General features: G+C 43.2%; 1 protein-coding gene across 2 annotated transcripts in view, besides 1 other annotated feature; it reads right to left on the bottom strand.

Annotated features, from left to right (window-relative positions):
• Nucleotides 7,416-8,075: an enhancer, noted in NCBI's record as "H3K27ac hESC enhancer chr16:24586737-24587396 (GRCh37/hg19 assembly coordinates)". NCBI's record gives its function as "activates a minimal SCP1, AML or CMV promoter by ChIP-STARR-seq in naive H9 embryonic stem cells {active_cell/tissue: H9 hESC(naive)}" and the evidence as "EXISTENCE:reporter gene assay evidence [ECO:0000049][PMID:30033119]".
• The window catches only part of RBBP6 (RB binding protein 6, ubiquitin ligase), a 33,298-nt gene continuing 25,364 nt past the window's right edge, over nucleotides 10,628-18,561 (bottom strand). Inside the window, exons 15-18 of one of the 2 annotated variants that reach the window (NM_006910.5) lie at nucleotides 15,986-16,348; nucleotides 15,598-15,699; nucleotides 12,992-14,746; nucleotides 10,628-12,615 (exon numbers count right to left, since the gene is read on the bottom strand). In NM_006910.5, the coding sequence (NP_008841.2) occupies nucleotides 11,046-12,615; nucleotides 12,992-14,746; nucleotides 15,598-15,699; nucleotides 15,986-16,348 (3,790 nt within the window). In that variant the 3' untranslated portion in view covers nucleotides 10,628-11,045. The remainder of the gene's footprint in view (nucleotides 12,616-12,991; nucleotides 14,747-15,597; nucleotides 15,700-15,985; nucleotides 16,349-18,561) is intronic. The other variant, NM_018703.4, reaches the window with a different exon arrangement.

Below are 18,561 nucleotides of genomic sequence, written 5' to 3'. Positions count from 1 at the left end.
CATAATTTCATGAAAGACATGAAAGAAAGGGCTCATAGAGCACTTGGCAAAGTATATTTTAAAAGGGTCGCAACGTCATCATCACAACATTGGATTTTCTAAATGTACCTAGGTTAAAAGGAAGTTACCAAAGAATCCTGGGAGGGGAAAATATTGCAAAAATTGCATATAAATGGATTAGGAGTCAGAATGGCTTGAACGCCTGGTTAGCAATGCCAGAAGCAGGATTATGATAGAGAAATGCCTCCAGGTATGAATGCAAATGATTTCCAGTGCAGAATTCTATGCCCAACCAAACCATAAATCAAGTGTCGGGGTAGAGTAAGAACATTTGTGACATTTTAGGCTCTGAAAAATTTTACCTCCCAGGTACCCTTCCGCAGTAACTTACTAGAGCACATGTCCTCCACCTCAAATGAGGAAGCAAACCTAGGAAGAGAAAGACACAGGATGGAAGGCAAAGATCTAATGCAGAAGAGAGGGCGAGGGGAAGACCCAGGAGCAGGCAGTTTTGGGGTACGTCTAGAGGGCAACCAATCTTTGTTGTTGTTGCCGAGACAAAGTCTCACTCTGTTGCCAGGCTGGAGTGCAGTGGCACGATCTCGGCTCACCGCAACACCTGCCTCCCGGGTTCAAGCGATTCTCCTGCCTCAGCCTCCCAAGTAGCTGGGACTACAGGCGTGCGCCACCACCCCCAGCGAATTTTTGTATTTTTAGTAAAGACAGGCTTTTACCATGTTGGCCAGGATAGTCTCAATCTGACCTCAACTGATCGGCCCATGTTGGCCTCTCAAAGTGCTGGGGTTATAGGCATGAGCCACTGTGCCCAGCCATTTTTTTTTTTTTCGAGATGGATTCTCTCATTCTTGTCACCCAGGCTGGAGTGCAGTGGTGTGATCTCTGCTCACTGCAACCTCCACCTCGCAGGTTCAAGCAATTCTCCAGCCTCAGCCTCCTGAGTAGCTGGGATTACAAGGTGCGTGCCACCACGTCTGGCTAATTTTTGTATTATTGGTAGAGACAGGGTTCCACCATGCTGGCCAGGCTGGTCTCAAACTCCTGACCTCAATTGATCCTCCCACCTCGGCCTCCCAAAGTGCTGGGATTATAGGCATGAGCCACTGGGCCTGGCCCCAATTTTTATTAGATAGGTAGAAAGAAGGTTCTGGAGGGGAATATCCCAAGAAAAAGGGTAAAACTGATGAACACTTATTTGAATATCCTGGGAGGAGGTTTGTTTCCAGTGAGCCATAGAAAATCAAACTTTTGAAACGGGAGTTGATATTAATTCCAGGAAAAACAACATTTTACATGAAAGCAATCCTACTATACCAAGTGACTCAATGTGGAACTGTTTATATAGATATATAATAATGTATACCACCATTTTTATTTAATCCAAATGGTAAAACTTTTATTGAGAGGGTGGGAGAGGGTAGAGGTGTATGTGTGTGGGTGTTGCTAAAGTCAATTGTGGCTCATACTTGAGACTGAAAAATCAAGTAATAGGAGGAGTGTGTTATTTACATATAACATTCTTCTTTTCTTTTTTAAAGAAAGAACTAGCAGAGTTGAAATGGCCTGTAAAGAATTAGTCAGCATATAATTAATTAGAGTAGGAGAATGAAGTTTTTGTTGTAAGTCTTTTTTTTTTTTTTTTTTTTTGAGATGGAGTTTCGCTCTTGTTGCTCAGGCTGGAGTGCAATGGTGTGATCTTGGCTCACTGCAACCTCCGCCTCCCGGGTTCAAGTGATTCTCCTGCCTCAGCCTCCTGAGTAGCTGGGATTACAGGCGTGCACCACCATGCTCGGCTAATTTTTTGTATTTTTAGTAGAGACGGGGTTTCACCATGGCCAGGCTGGTCTTGAACTTCTGACCTCAGATGATCTGCCCACCGCGACTTCCAGAGTGCTGGGATTACAGGCGTGAGCCATCACACCCGGCCTGTTGTAAGTCCTGAAGAACTTTATGACTTTTTAAACAATGTACAACTTTGTGAGAAAAATTAAATTCTTAAAGCCTGCAAAATTGAGAATGTATTATGATCTGGGCAAATTTAATGAAAATGCTAACTACCACAGACATATCCTGGTAGAAAAGTCAATATCGGTGGGGGGAGGGGGAAGATGGAGAATCACACTGGTTTTGGACTTAAAGGTAACTCTAAATGCCTGAAGGCACCAGAATTTTGTTTTGTTGGCATTTCTGTTTTATTGTTAGTGGCTTTTTTTTTTTTTTTGACAGGGTCGCACTATGTCACCCAAGCTGGAGTGCAGTGGCTCACCGCAATCTCCAGCTCCGGGGTTGGAGTGATTCTCAGCCTCCCTAGTAGCTGAGATTACAGGTGTGCACCACCATGCCCATCTAATTTTTTTTTTTTTTTTTTTTTTGTATTTTTAGTAGAGATGGGGTTTCACCATGTTGGCCAGGCTCGTCTTGAACTCCTGGCCTCAAGTGATCCACCCGCCTCAGCCTCTCAAAGTGCTAGGATTACAGGCATGAGCCACCGCACCCGGCTGCTAGTGGCATTTAAAATTTTCAGATGTTTATTTGTGTAATAATTGAGATTGTAATTTTAAAAAATTGCAGAGGGGGAAACAGTTGCTAGTTTAAAGAACAAGCAGCTTCTTCTGCCCTCTAATGGCATAATTCATCCTTGGTTCAGAAAAATAATGGCTAATTTCAGTTTCAGAGATGAAGAAACTATGAAGTAGAACAGAAAAGAAGGGACGATGGTGTGCACAGGAAGATGAGAGGATGTGATGTGTTCTCAGAAAATAGGCAGAAATGTCACAAAATGTATAAAGATTGAGACTGTACCATAATGAGAAGCTCTGAAGAGAAAAATCAGCACAAGAGACATCAGAAAATTAAAAAGGAGCAAATCAGGATAAACCAGATCTCATATAACCATTATCAAAAATATCGGGGAAGCTCCTGGGCTTCCAGTTGACTGGCCAGTTGAAATAATAAACTCTTAACCTATCAAAAAATGGTCATCCTAGAAGATGGGAAGAATATAATCCAGGAATGTAATATGATAGGTCAAAACACACAATTATCAACATTTTATTTTGGTACCAAAATTTATACAAAAGAATATTTTAAATCCTAAATATATAAAATTTTGGATAAACAATATTTAGTCTAGAATTTTAAGATGTGATTTTTTTTTCTCCAAGTGGTTAACCAGTTCACTCAAAGCTTATTGAAAAACCTATCCTTTTTCACATTTACTTATGCTCAAACTGTTGTGTATTATATTTGGGCCAATTTATGGTGTTGTATTCAATTCCACTGACTTGTCTGCCTCTTCTGGCACCAGTGCCATAATGTTTTGAAAATTGCATATTTTCCCCCTTCAGCCCCCATAATAGCCAGGGGAATGAGGGCTGCGTGATCCGGCCTCCTTCCTGGCAACAAGACCAGCTATAACAAATCTGTCTCTGGACAGAATCTTCTTCCATCCCCGTCAACATGGTAGCCTACGCTTCAGGTTTCCTTTGTGCAATTTTCATCATATTCAAAGTGACTTCAAAGGAAATTAACTTCATTTGCTCCATGGCCCATCCCTGTTTCTTCAGATGATGGTGTGTTCCTAATACCCAAGATCTTCTATTCAAGCTTTCCAAGAGGCCATCTGCCTTCTCAAGGAGAGAACTGTCAGTTGTCTTTATTTCGCCTTCTCTCCATTAACAACAAAAAACTTTTAAGATGTGGTGCTATGGCAGAAATGCCATATTTTTAGCTATGTCTGCCCCTTCTGTCTTTTCCTGAGTTTCTAGCACTAATACAGTTTTCCCTGGCTTCATTTTTCATATTTGTGTTTATTGGTTTTAGTTTTTAGGATACAAAAAGAAATCAGTCTACCAGCTTTATATATCATTAAGCTAGGTAAAAACATATTTTAACAATTATCAAAATTTTGTTAATGGGCCAGGTGTGGTGGCTTATCCCTGTAACCCCAGCACTTTGGGAGGCCCAGGCAGGAGGATTTCTTGAGGCCAAGAGTTTGAGACCAGCCTGGGCAACACAGCAAGACCTATCTCTACAAAAAAAAAAAAAAATTATTTTTAATTAGCCAGGTGTGGTGGCACACACCTGTAGTTTCAGCTACTCATAAGGCTGAGGTGGGAAGATTGCTTGAGTCCAGGAGGTTGGGGAAGCAGTGAGCTATGATTGTGCCACTGCACTCCAGCCTGGGCAACAGAGAGAGAGAGAGACTCTGTTTCTAAACAAAAAAAAAAAACAACCCCCCCAACCCCGCCAAAAATTATTAAGGTTCCAGTTGTTTCTACCAAAGAAGATTTTAAATTCTAAATGTATGTCCATTCTCATATGAAAATCTTACCACAGAGACTTTAAAAATAGAAACCTAAATTGAAAACATTCACACTGGCCAAACCAACTTCATAGTAAATTACAAAAGAGCCACATTTCAAGCAAAGTGGAAAAGCAAGATTCACGCTGGTGTTGGCTTTAATATGAGATCACTGTTCACCCTTCATTAAATTTAATAAAAGGTAAAGTGCATAAAGGAATTAGCAATAGTTATTTTTAAAAAGTCCTTTTAACATGATCCTAAAAATAATCTCAAAGGCTTTTATCAAAGAGGAGCCTTGATAAGCTGTTTATACTTTAGATCCATACTGAAAGAATTTGCCTGAAGTCTTTGAATGTTCCTATTAATCCTATTTCTTTCAGATCCGTATGCTGAAGTTATTCACATACAGCAGCTTCATGGTACACTTTCTCCAGGATTTAAGTAGGTGACCTTAAGTCTATTCTTTCCTGACCATTCCAATTCTCAAAATTAAAAATGTTTGTGGAAAAATTTAATGTCAAAGGATGTGTTTATGACATAAAGAAAATGCAGGGTACACGCTCGCTCTCTATATTTTATATATACACGCATATACATACGTATATATATACATACTATATATAGGAGGCTTTTTTCTAGTTAAAAATAAGACAACTGCTGAAGCTAAAGTAAATGAGCAGTGGTATAAAAACTCTCAGAAAGGACATGTTTCAAATCAGAGGTTTTGTTCTATGTCTAGCTTTATACAGTAAGAACAGCATTCATTAAAGGCGCTGAAAGACAGGGAAAGTGGACAAGTACACGGAGACACTTGCGCAGACTGGGATGAATAAACTATTACGTTTATTAAGTAGCTTTTTGCTCCTCTGAAATCCTGGCTTAAATATTTTGGAGCAGGTTTCGCTCCCTTCATTTGCCATGCTGACACTAGCAAAGGAGTGATTTTTAAGCTCCTGATTTTAACACTCTGGAGTATTCTTGGCACACAGAAACACCTAGGTCCTTGAAGGATACTACTTTTCAAACCTGCAGTAGGCCAAAAATTAATCCCTCCCTTGAGAAACGGACATGTCACCGGTTGTCTGTGAAGTCTGCTCTTATTACTAGCTTCTACACATATTTCTTTAGGCCAGTGTGTGGGTAAGAATTAACTTGCTTGGCAAAACACAATCTCAAAGTTTAAAACAAGGTAATTTCATTATTTCAAACATTTGTTACTATGTGCAAGGCATGGTTTGGCTTCCGGAATATAAACTAGACTTTTTGTGGAAGTCATGCTCAGTCCAGTGAGTGAGATAACCAAACACAGCCCACAGAAAACAATTTGGAAGGTGTTACTACAGCATATCCAGGGATGCTACCGCACCTCAGGCACGTATGGGGGCGGGCGGGCACTGTGAGGGAATAATTCCAAAACAGCAACTTTTTTTTTTTTTGAGACGGAGTCTCGCTCTGTCACCCAGGCTGGAGTGCAGTGGCGCGATCTCAGCTCACTGCAAGCTCTGCCTCCCTGGTTCATGCCATTCTCCTGCCTCCCGAGTAGCTGGGACTACAGGCGCCCACCACCACACCCGGCTAATTTTTGTATTTTTAGTAGAGACGGGGTTTCTTCGTGTTAGCCAGGATGGTCTCGATCTCCTGACCTCATGATCCGCCCGCCTCGGCCTCCCAAAGCGCTGGGATTACAGGCGTGAGCCACCGCGCCTGGTAACAGCAACCTAACTCTTGAACAATGAGCAGGAAATTATGAAGCAGGCAAAGGAGGAAGGAAATTCCAGCCAGATGAAACAGCTGAGTGCAAAAGATAGGGAGACATGACATGGTTTTTTGGGGATCTGCAAGAGGTGGAGTCTTACTTGCTGGCTTACTCTTCCACATAGTAGGGGCGAGTTGGATTAGTTAGGAGCTGGCTTGAATATCCAAGGCTGGACTGAGCCTTCACTGGCAGTGGACTTTCCTGCTTAACACAAGACATCAAGTACAACTGGAATTTTTAAGGATTAAATGAAGTCCAAGCACCTGGCACAGTGCCTTGCAAATAAGTTACTTCTTAAATTGTCTTCAAAGACTAGTTTTGTTAAGCAGTGTTCAGCACCTTAATCCGGGTTTGAAGGTTAGCTGTTTGGGTGCAGCAAGGTGAGTAAGGAGCAGCAGGTTATGGGCATGTTAGCGTGTGGCTGAAACAACAGGGCATAGGATACTAGTGAAGGGAAAGAGTAGAAAGAAGAGAGACTGGGGGATGAGTTGAAACTTCAGCCCCAAATAAGACCAACAAAGGATGGAGCTGGAAGACCAAGTCGTGGATGAAACATTAGAGCTTAACTCCAGTGTTTCTCCAAGAGAGGAATTGCCACAGGTGCTGAGTAACTAGAAAATTATCATAGGAGTGGACTGCACTTAAAGAAAAGGTCAGTTTAGCTTAAGGAACAACGAGCTTAGGTAATGAAACTGACCTCGGATGATGGAATGTATGATAAAAAAAGTTCTGGGTGCCAGATCCTATGAACGTGAGAGATCTAATCCAGATTTTTGGTCCAGATTAGCAAGAATTAACAGTAAATCTAGCTGGATTATTTTAAAGTCAAAATGGCAGTGTGTGTTGTGTGTGGGGTGGGGTAGAGTTGGAATGGTTAGGCCAGACATCCCATCCCGTGCAACAGGGGTGTCTGGGAATAAACAAATGTAATCTAAGCATCACAACGAAAGGAGGGCCCTTCAGAAGAAAGTTAATTTGATTCAGAGGCAGCATTTCCCTAATTCAGTTCTGAACAGCTTTCATGATCTTTACAGTACTTGCCTGTCACCTATAGAAATATAACATTCTAAAATTTTAAAATCACTTAGTAAGTATTGCACTTAAAAAACACATTTAAAAAAAGTATGTCTGTATACCACTTAAAATCGATGACTGGCTGGCGCAGTGACTCACACCTATAATGCCAGCACTTTGGGAGGCCGAGGCAGGCAGATCACCCGAGGTCAGGAGTTCAAGATGAGCCTGGCCAACATGGTGAAACCCTGTCTCTACTGAAAATACAAAAACTAGCTGGGTGTGGTGGCCGGCACCTGTAACCCCAGCTATTTGGGATGCGGAGGCAGGAGAATCCACTTGAACCCAGGAGGCAGAGGTTGCAGTGAGCCGAGATCATGCCACTGCACTCCTGCCTGGGTAAGAGTGAGACTCCGGCTCTCCCTCTCCCTCTCTCTCCCTCTCCCTCTCCCCCCTCTCCCCTCCTCCCTCTCCCTCTCCTCCCTCTCCCCCTCCTCCCTCTCCTCCCTCTCCCTCTCCTCCCTCTCCCCCTCCTCCCTCCCCCTCCCTCTCCCTCTCCTCCCTCTCCCCCTCCTCCCTCCCCCTCCTCCCTCTCCCTCTCCTCCCTCTCCTCCCTCTCTCCCTCCTCCCTCTCCCTCTCTTTCCACGGTCTCCCTCTGATGCCGAGCCAAAGCTGGACTGTACTGCTGCCATCTCGGCTCACTGCAACCTCCCTGCCTGATTCTCCCGCCTCAGCCTGCCGAGTGCCTGCGATTGCAGGCGCACACCACCACGCCTGACTGGTTTTCGTATTTTTTTGGTGGAGACGGGGTTTCGCTGTGTTGGCCGGGCTGGTCTCCAGCTCCTAACCGTGAGTGATCTGCCCGCCTCGGCCTCCCGAGGTGCCGGGATTGCAGACGGAGTCTCGTTCACTCAGTGCTCAATGTTGCCCAGGCTGGAGTGCAGTGGTGTGATCTCAGCTAGCTACAACCTCCACCTCCCAGCCGCCTGCCTTGGCCTCCCAAAGTGCCGAGATTGCAGCCTGTGCCCGGCCGCCACCCTGTCTGGGAAGTGAGGAGCGTCTCTGCCTGGCCACCCATCCTCTGGGATGTGAGGAGCCCCTCTGTCCAGCTGCCCAGTCTGGGAAGTGAGGAGCGCCTCTTCCCGGCCGCCATCCTGTCTAGGAAGTGAGGAGCGTCTCTGCCTGGCCACCCATCGTCTGAGATGTGGGGAGCGCCTCTGCCCCGCCGCCCCGTCTGGGATGTGAGGAGCGCCTCTGCCCAGCTGCAACCCCGTCTGGGAGGTGAGGAGCGTCTCTTTCCGGCCGCCATCCCGTCTAGGAAGTGACGAGCGTCTCTGCCCGGTGGCCCATCGTCTGAGATGTGGGGAGTGCCTCTGCTCCGCCGCCCCATCTGGGATGTGAGGAGCGCCTCTGCCCGGCCGTGACCCCGTCTGGGAGGTGAGGAGCGTCTCTGCCCGGCCGCCATCCCGTCTAGGAAGTGACGAGCGTCTCTGCCCGGTGGCCCATCGTCTGAGATGTGGGGAGTGCCTCTGCTCCGCCGCCCCATCTGGGATTTGAGGAGCGCCTCTGCCCAGCCGTGACCCCGTCTGGGAGGTGAGGAGCGTCTCTGCCCGGCCGCCATCCCGTCTAGGAAGTGACGAGCGTCTCTGCCCAGTGGCCCATCGTCTGAGATGTGGGGACCGCCTCTGCTCTGCCGCCCCGTCTGGGATGTGAGAAGCGCCTCTGCCCGGCCGTGACCCCGTCTGGGAGGTGAGGAGCGTCTCTGCCCGGCTGCCCCGTCTGAGAAGTGAGGAGCCCCTCCGCCCGGCAGCCGCCCCATCTGAGAAGTGAGAAGCCCCTCCGCCCGGCAGCCGCCCCATCTGAGAAGTGAGGAGCCCCTCCGCCCGGCAGCCGCCCCGTCTGAGAAGTGAGGAGCCCCTCCGCCCGGCAGCCGCCCCATCTGAGAAGTGAGAAGCCCCTCCGCCCGGCAGCCGCCCCATCTGAGAAGTGAGGAGCCCCTCCGCCCGGCAGCCGCCCCGTCTGAGAAGTGAGGAGCCCCTCCGCCCGGCAGCCGCCCCGTCTGAGAAGTGAGGAGCCCCTCTCCGCCCGGCAGCCGCCCCGTCTGAGAAGTGAGGAGCCCCTCCGCCCGGCAGCCGCCCCGTCTGAGAAGTGAGGAGCCCCTCCGCCCGGCAGCCGCCCCGTCTGAGAAGTGAGGAGCCCCTCTGCCCGGCAGCCACCCCGTCTGGGAAGTGAGGAGCGTCTCCGCCCGGCAGCCGCCCCATCCGGGAGGGAGGTGGGGGGCAGCCCCCGCCCGGCCAGCCGCCCCGTCCGGGAGGTGGGGGGGTGCCTCTGCCCGGCCGCCCCTTCTGGGAAGTGAGGAGCCCCTCCGCCCGGCCGCCACCCCGTCTGGGAGGTGTACCCAACAGCTCCTTGAGAATGGGCCATGATGATGACGGCGGTTTTGTGGAATAGAAAAGGGGGAAATGTGGGGAAAAGATAGAGAAATCAGATTGTTGCTGTGTCTGTGTAGAAAGAAGTAGACATAGGAGACTCCATTTTGTTCTGTACTAAGATTCTTCTGCCTTGGGATGCTGTTGATCTATGACCTTGCCCCCAACCCTGTGCTCTCTGAAACATGTGCTGTGTCCACTCAGGGTTAAATGGATTAAGGGCGGAGCAAGATGTGCTTTGTTAAACAGATGCTTGAAGGCAGCATGCTCGTTAAGAGTCATCACCACTCCCTAATCTCAAGTACCCAGGGACACAAACACTGCGGAAGGCCGCAGGGTCCTCTGCCTAGGAAAACCAGAGACCTTTGTTCACTTGTTTATCTGCTGACCTTCCCTCCACTATTGTCCTACGATCCTGCCAAATCCCCCTCTGCGAGAAACACCCAAGAATCATCAATTAAAAAAAAAAAAAAAAAGTGAGACTCCATCTCAAATAAGAAAAAAAAAGATTATCTCAATCCCTACTTATACCACTATGTTTCTAAAGTGCCATTCCTACTCTCCCTCATTCCCCACATCCTTTCAGTACCTTTTCACTGTCCCCAGGTACACTTCCCGAACCACAGCAATAAAGGAAACTCATCGTAAGTAATGACCGCTTGCTTGTCAACTGGGCAGATTGGGTAGGCCACAAGCACTCACTGGTTTAGCTGCATTCTCCTTTATCAAGGAATTTAATACTTATTTATCAGGGTTTCCAGAAAAATACGTGGCCATAAACGAGTCACAATTCTGCATCTCTAATATTCAAATCCAAACCATTTTGAAAGTTCAAACTTCGAATTTCTATGTAATTCAAGACTCTCCTAGATTTATTTAACCACATCTCCAATTAATCCTGATTCATTTCTGGCCTCTACCACCTGCCCACCTATGAAATGTATCTTCCATGTTTAATTTAGAATTCTGTATATTCAGTTCAGCTTGTATTAAAAACTAAGAATTTTAAAATAGGAAAATGGAGACACACATACAACCTGCATCTGGTGGGTTAAGTATACAGATATGGCACTACTTTCTGTAAATAATGCAAATACTCAACATTTGAAAAGTTTACTGAAAACTTTTATTGTAATCAAAAAGTGACATAACAGGGTTGTAATGAATTCAGCAAATCATTCTGCTGATATTTTAGAACTTATATCAGCTTTTGCCAGGCAATTAAAAAATTCAAATGTGAAAATTTCACATTACAGTAAACTCCACCCCAACTAATTAATGGTGGTTAAAAATAATAGGCCCTAGCAAAACCTCTCATGTTACATGGTCACAACTCACAATTCTGTACAAAAGTTCGTGTTATAAAGCTCTGATGTAAAAATCAAATAATCAAGCAGCAATATTTTAAGTGCAGCACAGGGTCTTCCATGTCATTATTTACAAGGCTTGAATCTCTTTACATTATAACAAAATTTAATACAGATGACTTAGTAATTAAGTCAATTTAAAAAATCTGTCTTTTTACACAGTGACAGATTTCACTTTTTGGTCATCTTTCTCCTTCTCCTTCTCTTTATCTTTGTTCTTCTTTGACTTCTTTTTCTTGTGTTTGTGTTTTTGGCTTTTTTCCAATTCCACTTCAGTGCCTGCATGTTTCTTATGCTTCTTATGCTTTTTATGTTTCTTGTGTTTTTTCTTTTCCTTCTTTTTCTTCTTCTTCTTGCTGTCCTGACTTTCTGCTGAGCTGGCACTGCTACTGTGGCTTCGGGTCTGGCTTCCAGAAGGACTGTGGCTTCTGCTGGGGCTGACGCTGGGGCTGCTGTGGCTCTGATTCCTGCTTATGCCCACCTGGACAACTGCTGCTGTGTCCAGGCTCTCTTTTGCTTTCTCCACTATTTTATCTTTCAGGTCCTTAGAAATGTTTCCTGAAGATTCCTCTTCTTTTACAGAAACATTACTTTCACTGTCACTTTCATTATAGTCTGGTTCAAAAGCAGCTTCATCAGTTTCTCTAGTTAAGTCAGAGGAAAGTCTAGAGGAATGACTTAACTGGGGTTTAGGCTTGACAGTACTCTTGTCAATTTGCCCAGTAATTTGCTCTTTTTCAACCTGTGTCTCTGGTGGGTTAAGTATATAAAGTAGTTTATTGCCACTTGACTCTTTATTGTTCCTTGCTTCTAATACATGCTTCTCACGATCCTTACAAGGATTTTTATCTACAGATTTTGTCTCTTCATTTGGCCGTTTAGTATCATAAGTGGCTTTGTGATCATGAGGTTTTCTGTCTCTTGAGGGACTAGAATTACTTTTTTTGGAATCTCCTGTTCCTTTTTTAGGCAAATCTCTCTCTTCCCTTGGTTTATTTTTCTGTCCAGATGCAGAATCTTTATTCCGAGAAGGAGAGTCTTTTCGTCTTGTTAATTCATTCTTTTCATCTCTACGTTTGGAACTTGAATACTCTCTGGTGTCATAGTCAGTTTTTTTGTCTCTATTGGGAGTGAAGTCTTTATTTGAGGAAGCACGAGTGGAATCATGTTTATCTGACGTTCTAGCCTCTTTGGAAGATTGAGACAGACTTTTAAAATTTCCTTGTTCATTCAGACGGTCCAAATTACTCTCTTTCTCTGGCTGAGTGCTGTTCTTCCTCTTTTCAGGGTTCTCCTTTTCCAACACTGAATAATCTCGATCTTTGGTTTTCCCTTTTTCACTAGATGCAGAGTTTTTTGAACTTTTAACCTCATGTTGTATGATTTCATGGCTCACGTCCTTGGTGAATTTCTGAATTTTCTCGGATGGCTCACTTTCTTTCTCAGGATACTTGACTATATTTGATGGCTTTGTACTAACATTTTTTATAACACTAGCAGGTTTTCCTACACTTGATATAGGCTGTGTGGATTTAACATCTTCTTCTTCAGATTCAAAGTCATCTTTATCCCATTTGGATTGAGGAACCTGAATCATAATGATAACATCTTCAGCTGGCGCGGTATTGTCATTATTATATTCTTCCATCGTTTTAATCACAGTTCGCTTTGTATCTGTTTTTTCTTCAGATTTCCGCACAGGACTGCCTCCAGTTGAGCTCGTACTAAAAAGAATAACAAAATATTTTTAATTAATGAAGAATTTACTATTAATTATAAAACACTGATAAATATAAAAATGCTAACTTAAACACAAATGTCCTTTTAACATTAAAAAAAACAAAAAACTTATTCTGCCCTAAGGAAGACACACAATTTAAGATTATGATTGTATCAACACAAATGTGGCTCACCCCCAAAATCTATTTACAACCTTGTCTTTGGCAATTCCCTTCTTCAAAGACAACAAAAGACTACATAAAACCAGCCTACTTCCCTAGATCAGCATTCATAATTAATATAAAAAGCACAAGCATGGATAAAACTGAAGAAAATCCTTCTCCCAACAAAGTTCCACACCCACCCCCTACACTCAGCTACCTGGTGTAATCCACCAGAGTTGAGCTGGATCCTTCAGTTCCAGTCACTTTTCGTCTGACCTTTCCTTTGACTTTTTCTTGTTTAACTTTGCTAGATGTTGACTCCAATTTTTCAGAGGGTTCTTTTGTGTTTGATATATTTTCTGTACTTCCAATTTTCTTCCCAGTTTCTCTGTTGAGTTTGATTTTTTTGGCTGGCGCACTTAAAGAAATTTTGTCCTTTTCAGGGGTCCTATCCATTTTTTCAGTATCAGGTTCCATTTTGCGCTTTGGTGATGGTTTCACTATTTCAGTCACTTCTAGTTTCGAGATTTTCATTGAAGAAGACTCAAAATCTTTATCTACGCCTTTTTCTTCAGTTTTTCTTTTTCTTTTTTCTCCCTTATTATCAAGTGGTTTGTTTTTCTCATTAGGCTTCTTGGCCTTTTCTTCCTTAGTTGTTAGCTTTTCTGATTTGACATCTTTGGAATAGTCCTTCTTCACTTTTTCCTCTTTGACTGGTTTTGTTTCTTGGTGTTCTTTTGCTGATTTAGAGTGAGCTTTTCTGGGGGTTCCAGTGATTTTTTCATCCTTCTGAGAGGAAGATGATGATTTAGTATTGTCAGTCTTCGGAGTCTCCTCTTTGGCTTTTTTAATTGGAGGTTCAGATCGAGGAGATCTCTCACGTTCTCCATCTACTTTTTCTTGGGGTCCTTTAGCAGGTTTTACAATATTTTCTTTTTTGGACACAGCAGATCCATCATTCTTCCGTTTGGTTTTATCACCCTTTGCTTTTGGTTTATCCCTTTCTCTCTTGTCTTTTTCAGACACTGATTTAAAAGTGATTGATTCTGCATCCATTGGTTCATCTCTAACAGGTGTGGCATCATCTCTACTTGGGAGAACAAACAATGAGTCTGTTTTATTTTCTTCAACACCTGTAGGTTCTCTTGATTTCCTAGAAGTCTCTAATAACTCTGGGTTCAGAAAACCCTCACTTTCCTCCCCTTTTCTTCTTTTTCTGTGTTTCTTATGCTTATTTCCTTTACCATCTCCTGGAGCGTTTTCACTCTCCTTCTCTTTTGACTTTGTATTATCCTTCTGATTGTGACCATCTCTTGCTGAAAGCTTTTCTGGATAGTTGCTACCTATGTTTCGACTTCTATGACTTTGCCCACCAACATAGTCTTCTCTGCGGCCTCTTGTGAAGGGAGAATTCCTGATGTTAAGTGGCAAAAATCTCTCTGGAGAAAAGTTCTCTCTATTTGCTGAGGGTCTAGGCTGTGCTCCAGCAGCATAACCTTTATAATATTTTTCATACCACTCTCTATATTTTCTCTCCCATTCTCGGTAGCGTTCTTTTTCAAATGGGTCTCTAAAGTCAACACTTCTCCCATAATATGCTTTCATGTCATATGGTGGTGGAACTTCTCTGTATCTATTAAAATATTCACGTTCTGTTTCCCCTTGAGGTACATTACGTTTATTAGGAGACTGTCCCCTAAACGCTTGAGGAGATCTTGATCGTGAATGATAGCGTCTGTAAGGGGGTGACCTTGACCTAGATCGATGATATCCATGAGATCTAGACCGTGAACGGTAATTGCGGCTCTTGCCTCTGCCTCTTCTGGGGTATGGAGGTGACCGTGAATAGGAACGAGAATGTGAGCGGCTGAATGATCGAGAATAAGAGCGTGAACGTGTTGAACCAGATCTTGATTTAGAATAAGTATATGAACTTCTTGAATACGAAGAACCACTATAGGGAGATTTAGACCTAAAAACAAAACAAAACAATAGTTGATAGTTGAGAAATACATACAAAATAAAACACAGACTCTCAGATTCTAGCATTCTTTCCTCACGGTTTCATCTATCTTTATATCAAATTTCATCTTAGATGATTAAAGAGGCACAGTGACCTCTACTGGAATGGAATAAAGTACACAAATCGGAGCAATCACTTGTTACAAAACAAAAGTGAAGTCTTAACAATTAGAGTGAAGTGCATTAATGTACCGTGAGTTATATGAGCTAACTAACATTAAACAAAATGTCAATTAATTTTAAATTTCACTTCCTATCTGAATATTGAAGTAGGAGTCTGTTTTTTGTCCTATACTGGCCAACAGCCTAGTTTTAAAAGAAACCACATTTCAAGTGTAAGGCTAAAAAATAAAGTCTTTTAAACAAACTTCCAGGGAATTTTTATAATTCACTTTTTCTATCAATAAAGCGATCTGTATTCTACTACTACTTCATAATTACGCAGGTTAATGTTCCAGCAAGAAGCTGTAGCCTTATGGTAAAAGGGTCCTGGGAACTGTTTTTTGGCTATTCCCCTATTTCTTTCCTTCCAAAAACATTTCCCAATTATTTGATACTATGAATAACTTTAAGGGACAAGGGCAATTTAATCCCCACAACTGTTAGTTCTACACAATAAAATTTACACTGAGACATTATTTCAATGAACAGATATTGGGAAATAAGCTACATCTTCACTTCTATACACCTAGACCGAATCAGAAAAATTCCTAAGTGCAATGTTCTTTATATCCATAGCTAATCCCTGGATATTCAAAGTCCCGTTTGTAATTCTGTTGTGAAGGCTTGCAAAACACTAACCTGGAAAATGAGCGCCTACGCTCCTTTTGAATCTTTTTGTATTCCATCAATTCCTTAGCAAAATCATTTGTAAACTCATCTAGCTTGGACTTTTTCTTTTCCCTAGTAAAATAAAGTTAAAGAGTGAAAGTTAACAAAAACCATTTAAGAAAACTAACAAGACAAATGTAATTAGATCATGAATGAAATGAATGAAATTGCCATTAGTTTTCCACTTTAAAACTATAAACTAGGAATCCCTGAGAAGTTGCTTGTATGGCTTTGGTTTAAATTTTAGGTGAATTTCTCATACTAACTGGAAACACTGGAAAACGTTTCCAGACACCTATTTAATGTTATTATCAGAAAATGAAAAAAGTGTATAATAATTTCAAATTAGAATACATACTCTTCTTTTAGTCGTCGCTGCTCTCTATAGAATTCTTCCCTGGACAAAGGTGGTGCTTGTGTTGTTGGGATGGTATTTGAATGAGCTGTCTGCACTCCTGATGATACCCAAGGTGTTGATAAATTGGCAGGAGCTGGAGGAAACCCTGGAGGAGGGACACTATACCCAGCGGGTGGTGGCTGGCCAGGAGGAAACTGAGGAGAAAACTGTGGAGGAGGAACACCCGGAGGGAGAGGAAGTGTATGGGGAGGAGGCGGATACAAAGGAGGTGGTGGAACAGGTACAAAGACTGGAGTTGCTGGTAGTGACGGGCCTTGAGTCCTCTGTGATCTTTCGCTGTGGTGTCGCCCACGGTTTATACTTCTGGAAAAATAAATTCCAAGATATTACTTCTTCAAACTAAAGTCATCTGAGACAAGTAAGCTTATCTCTTCTATCCATAATTATTTTCAAACTTAAAAACAGTGGAATAGAACCAACTATTCAACTAGTGTAGCAACATTAGTACAATTTATTTGTAAAAATAACTCTACAACATAATTTTTAAGGCCATGTCTCGACTGAGATGATGCAAGTTTATAGGACCTTCTCTACACGGAAATATTGTATTTAAAAGTTCTCTTTTATGAAGTTCAGACTGATTATCACTCCACTAATTACTACCTGTTACTTCCTAAACTGTCTTTTGAAGGCACTGACAGGTTAATGCTGCTATGACCTAGCTCTCCCCAAAAGCTTACTTATTCATTTATTTTTTATTTTTTGAGACAGAGTCTCACTCTGTCGTCCAGGCTGGACTACAGTGGTGTAATCTTGGCTCACTGCAACCTCCACCTCCTGGGTTCAAGCGAATTCTCCTGCCTCAGCTTCCCAAGTAGCTGGGACTAGAGACGTGTGCCACCATGCCCAGCTAATTTTTGTATTTTTAGGAGAGACAGGGTTTCACCATGTTGGGCAGGCTGTTCTCAAACTCCTGACCTCAGGTGATCTGCACAAAGTGCTGGGGTTACAGGTGAGAGCCACCACACCTGGCCCCAAAAGTTTAAATGAAGGAAAACCAACTCCTGTAACCTCTTTTTTGAGGGAGGAAGTGGGTAAAGATCATACAAAGCAGAATAAATTCTAGTTTTAACTTCTATAATTAACAATGAAAATATCAACGCTTTCTCTCAAAAGCTTAAGTAAAAATAACAGTGTTGGCTAAGTTTCTAATTTGTGCCTCACCAAACAGAACTGGTTACTTCTGTTAAACTAGAGGTGCTTTAAATTATAAATAATTGGTACACAACAGCAACAGTAGGGGTTTAGATTTTAAGCATCTTTTCAGTGAGCCATGAATAACTATTACCTTCTTTTAAAATGTGATCCAGTAATGACATAGTAAACTTTCATAAGTTTAGCAATGAAGCACTAGAAGATATCCCGAATTTCCTTCTTTTTGGAGACAGGGTCTCACTCTGTCCCCTAGGCTAAAGTGCAGTGATGTGGTTATAGCTCACTGCAGCCTTGACTTCCTAAGCTCAAGTGATCCTCCTGCCTCAGCCTCCCAGGTAGCTGGGACCACAGGTGCATGCCACCATGTCTGGTTATTTTATTTTTTTGGTAGAGACAGAGTCTTGCTATGTTGCCCAGGCTAATCTTGAACTTCAGGCCTCAAGCAATCCTCCCCCATCAGCCTCCCAAAGCTCTAAAATTACCAGCATGAGCCATTATGCCTGGCCAAAACTCTTGTTATGAAGTTTTGGAGGCTCCTTTATCCTGGTGGTGATTATGACCTAGACTAGCAGTTCTCAACCGTTTTGGCACCAGGGAGCTGTTTTGTGGAAGACAATTTTTCCATGGACGGGGGCAGGGGGGTAAAAACTGTTCCACCTTAGATGATCAGGCATTAGATTCTCCTAAGAAGCGTGCAACCCAGATCCTTTGCACACGCAGTTCACAACAGGGTTCATGCTCCTATGAGAATCTTAATGCCACTGCTGATCTGACAAGAGGTGGAGCTCAGGTGGTAATGCTCGCTCAGCTGCTGTTCACCTCCTGCTGTGTTGCCCAGTTCCTAACAGGCCAAGGATGGATACTGGTCTGTGGCCCAGGGTTGGGGACCCCTGACCTAGACAGTAAGATTCTTACTTCTTAGATTAATATTGCTTGTACCCGCCCACTAGGGCAGGAGCCTCTAACAATCTCCTGTCTCTTCTTTTGGAAAAGAGACGGTGGGAGATGATTGGGACAGTGGGGTCTAGAAGAGAAATAGTTGCAATTCTTGTTCACAGTTGGGAGCTGAGCTTGTTAACTTTAATCTTAAATTAAACTGGTATCTTAGATATTGTCTGACCCCTGACTTTCTTCTACTTCCAAGAGGGTAAATGCAAGCCAATACTCTGCTGTTTGCTGACAGGGAGAAAGTAATCACTGGGAAGGAATATTAAAAATGTCTTAAAAACCATCATTTAAGATACTATATATAATTTATTCTTTTCTAGCCCTCTTTAAGGACAACTACCCAGGACTTAAGAGGGATAAGCACAATACAAACAAATGACCCCCTTCCTTCCTGCCACTGCTGTGCTTTAATT

The sequence above is a fragment of the Homo sapiens genome, chromosome 16, assembly GCF_000001405.40.
Source record: "Homo sapiens chromosome 16, GRCh38.p14 Primary Assembly".
Lineage (NCBI taxonomy): Eukaryota > Metazoa > Chordata > Mammalia > Primates > Hominidae > Homo > Homo sapiens.
The sequence above is the reverse complement of the archived record's forward strand: the minus strand, read 5'-3'. Positions and strand labels throughout refer to the sequence as shown.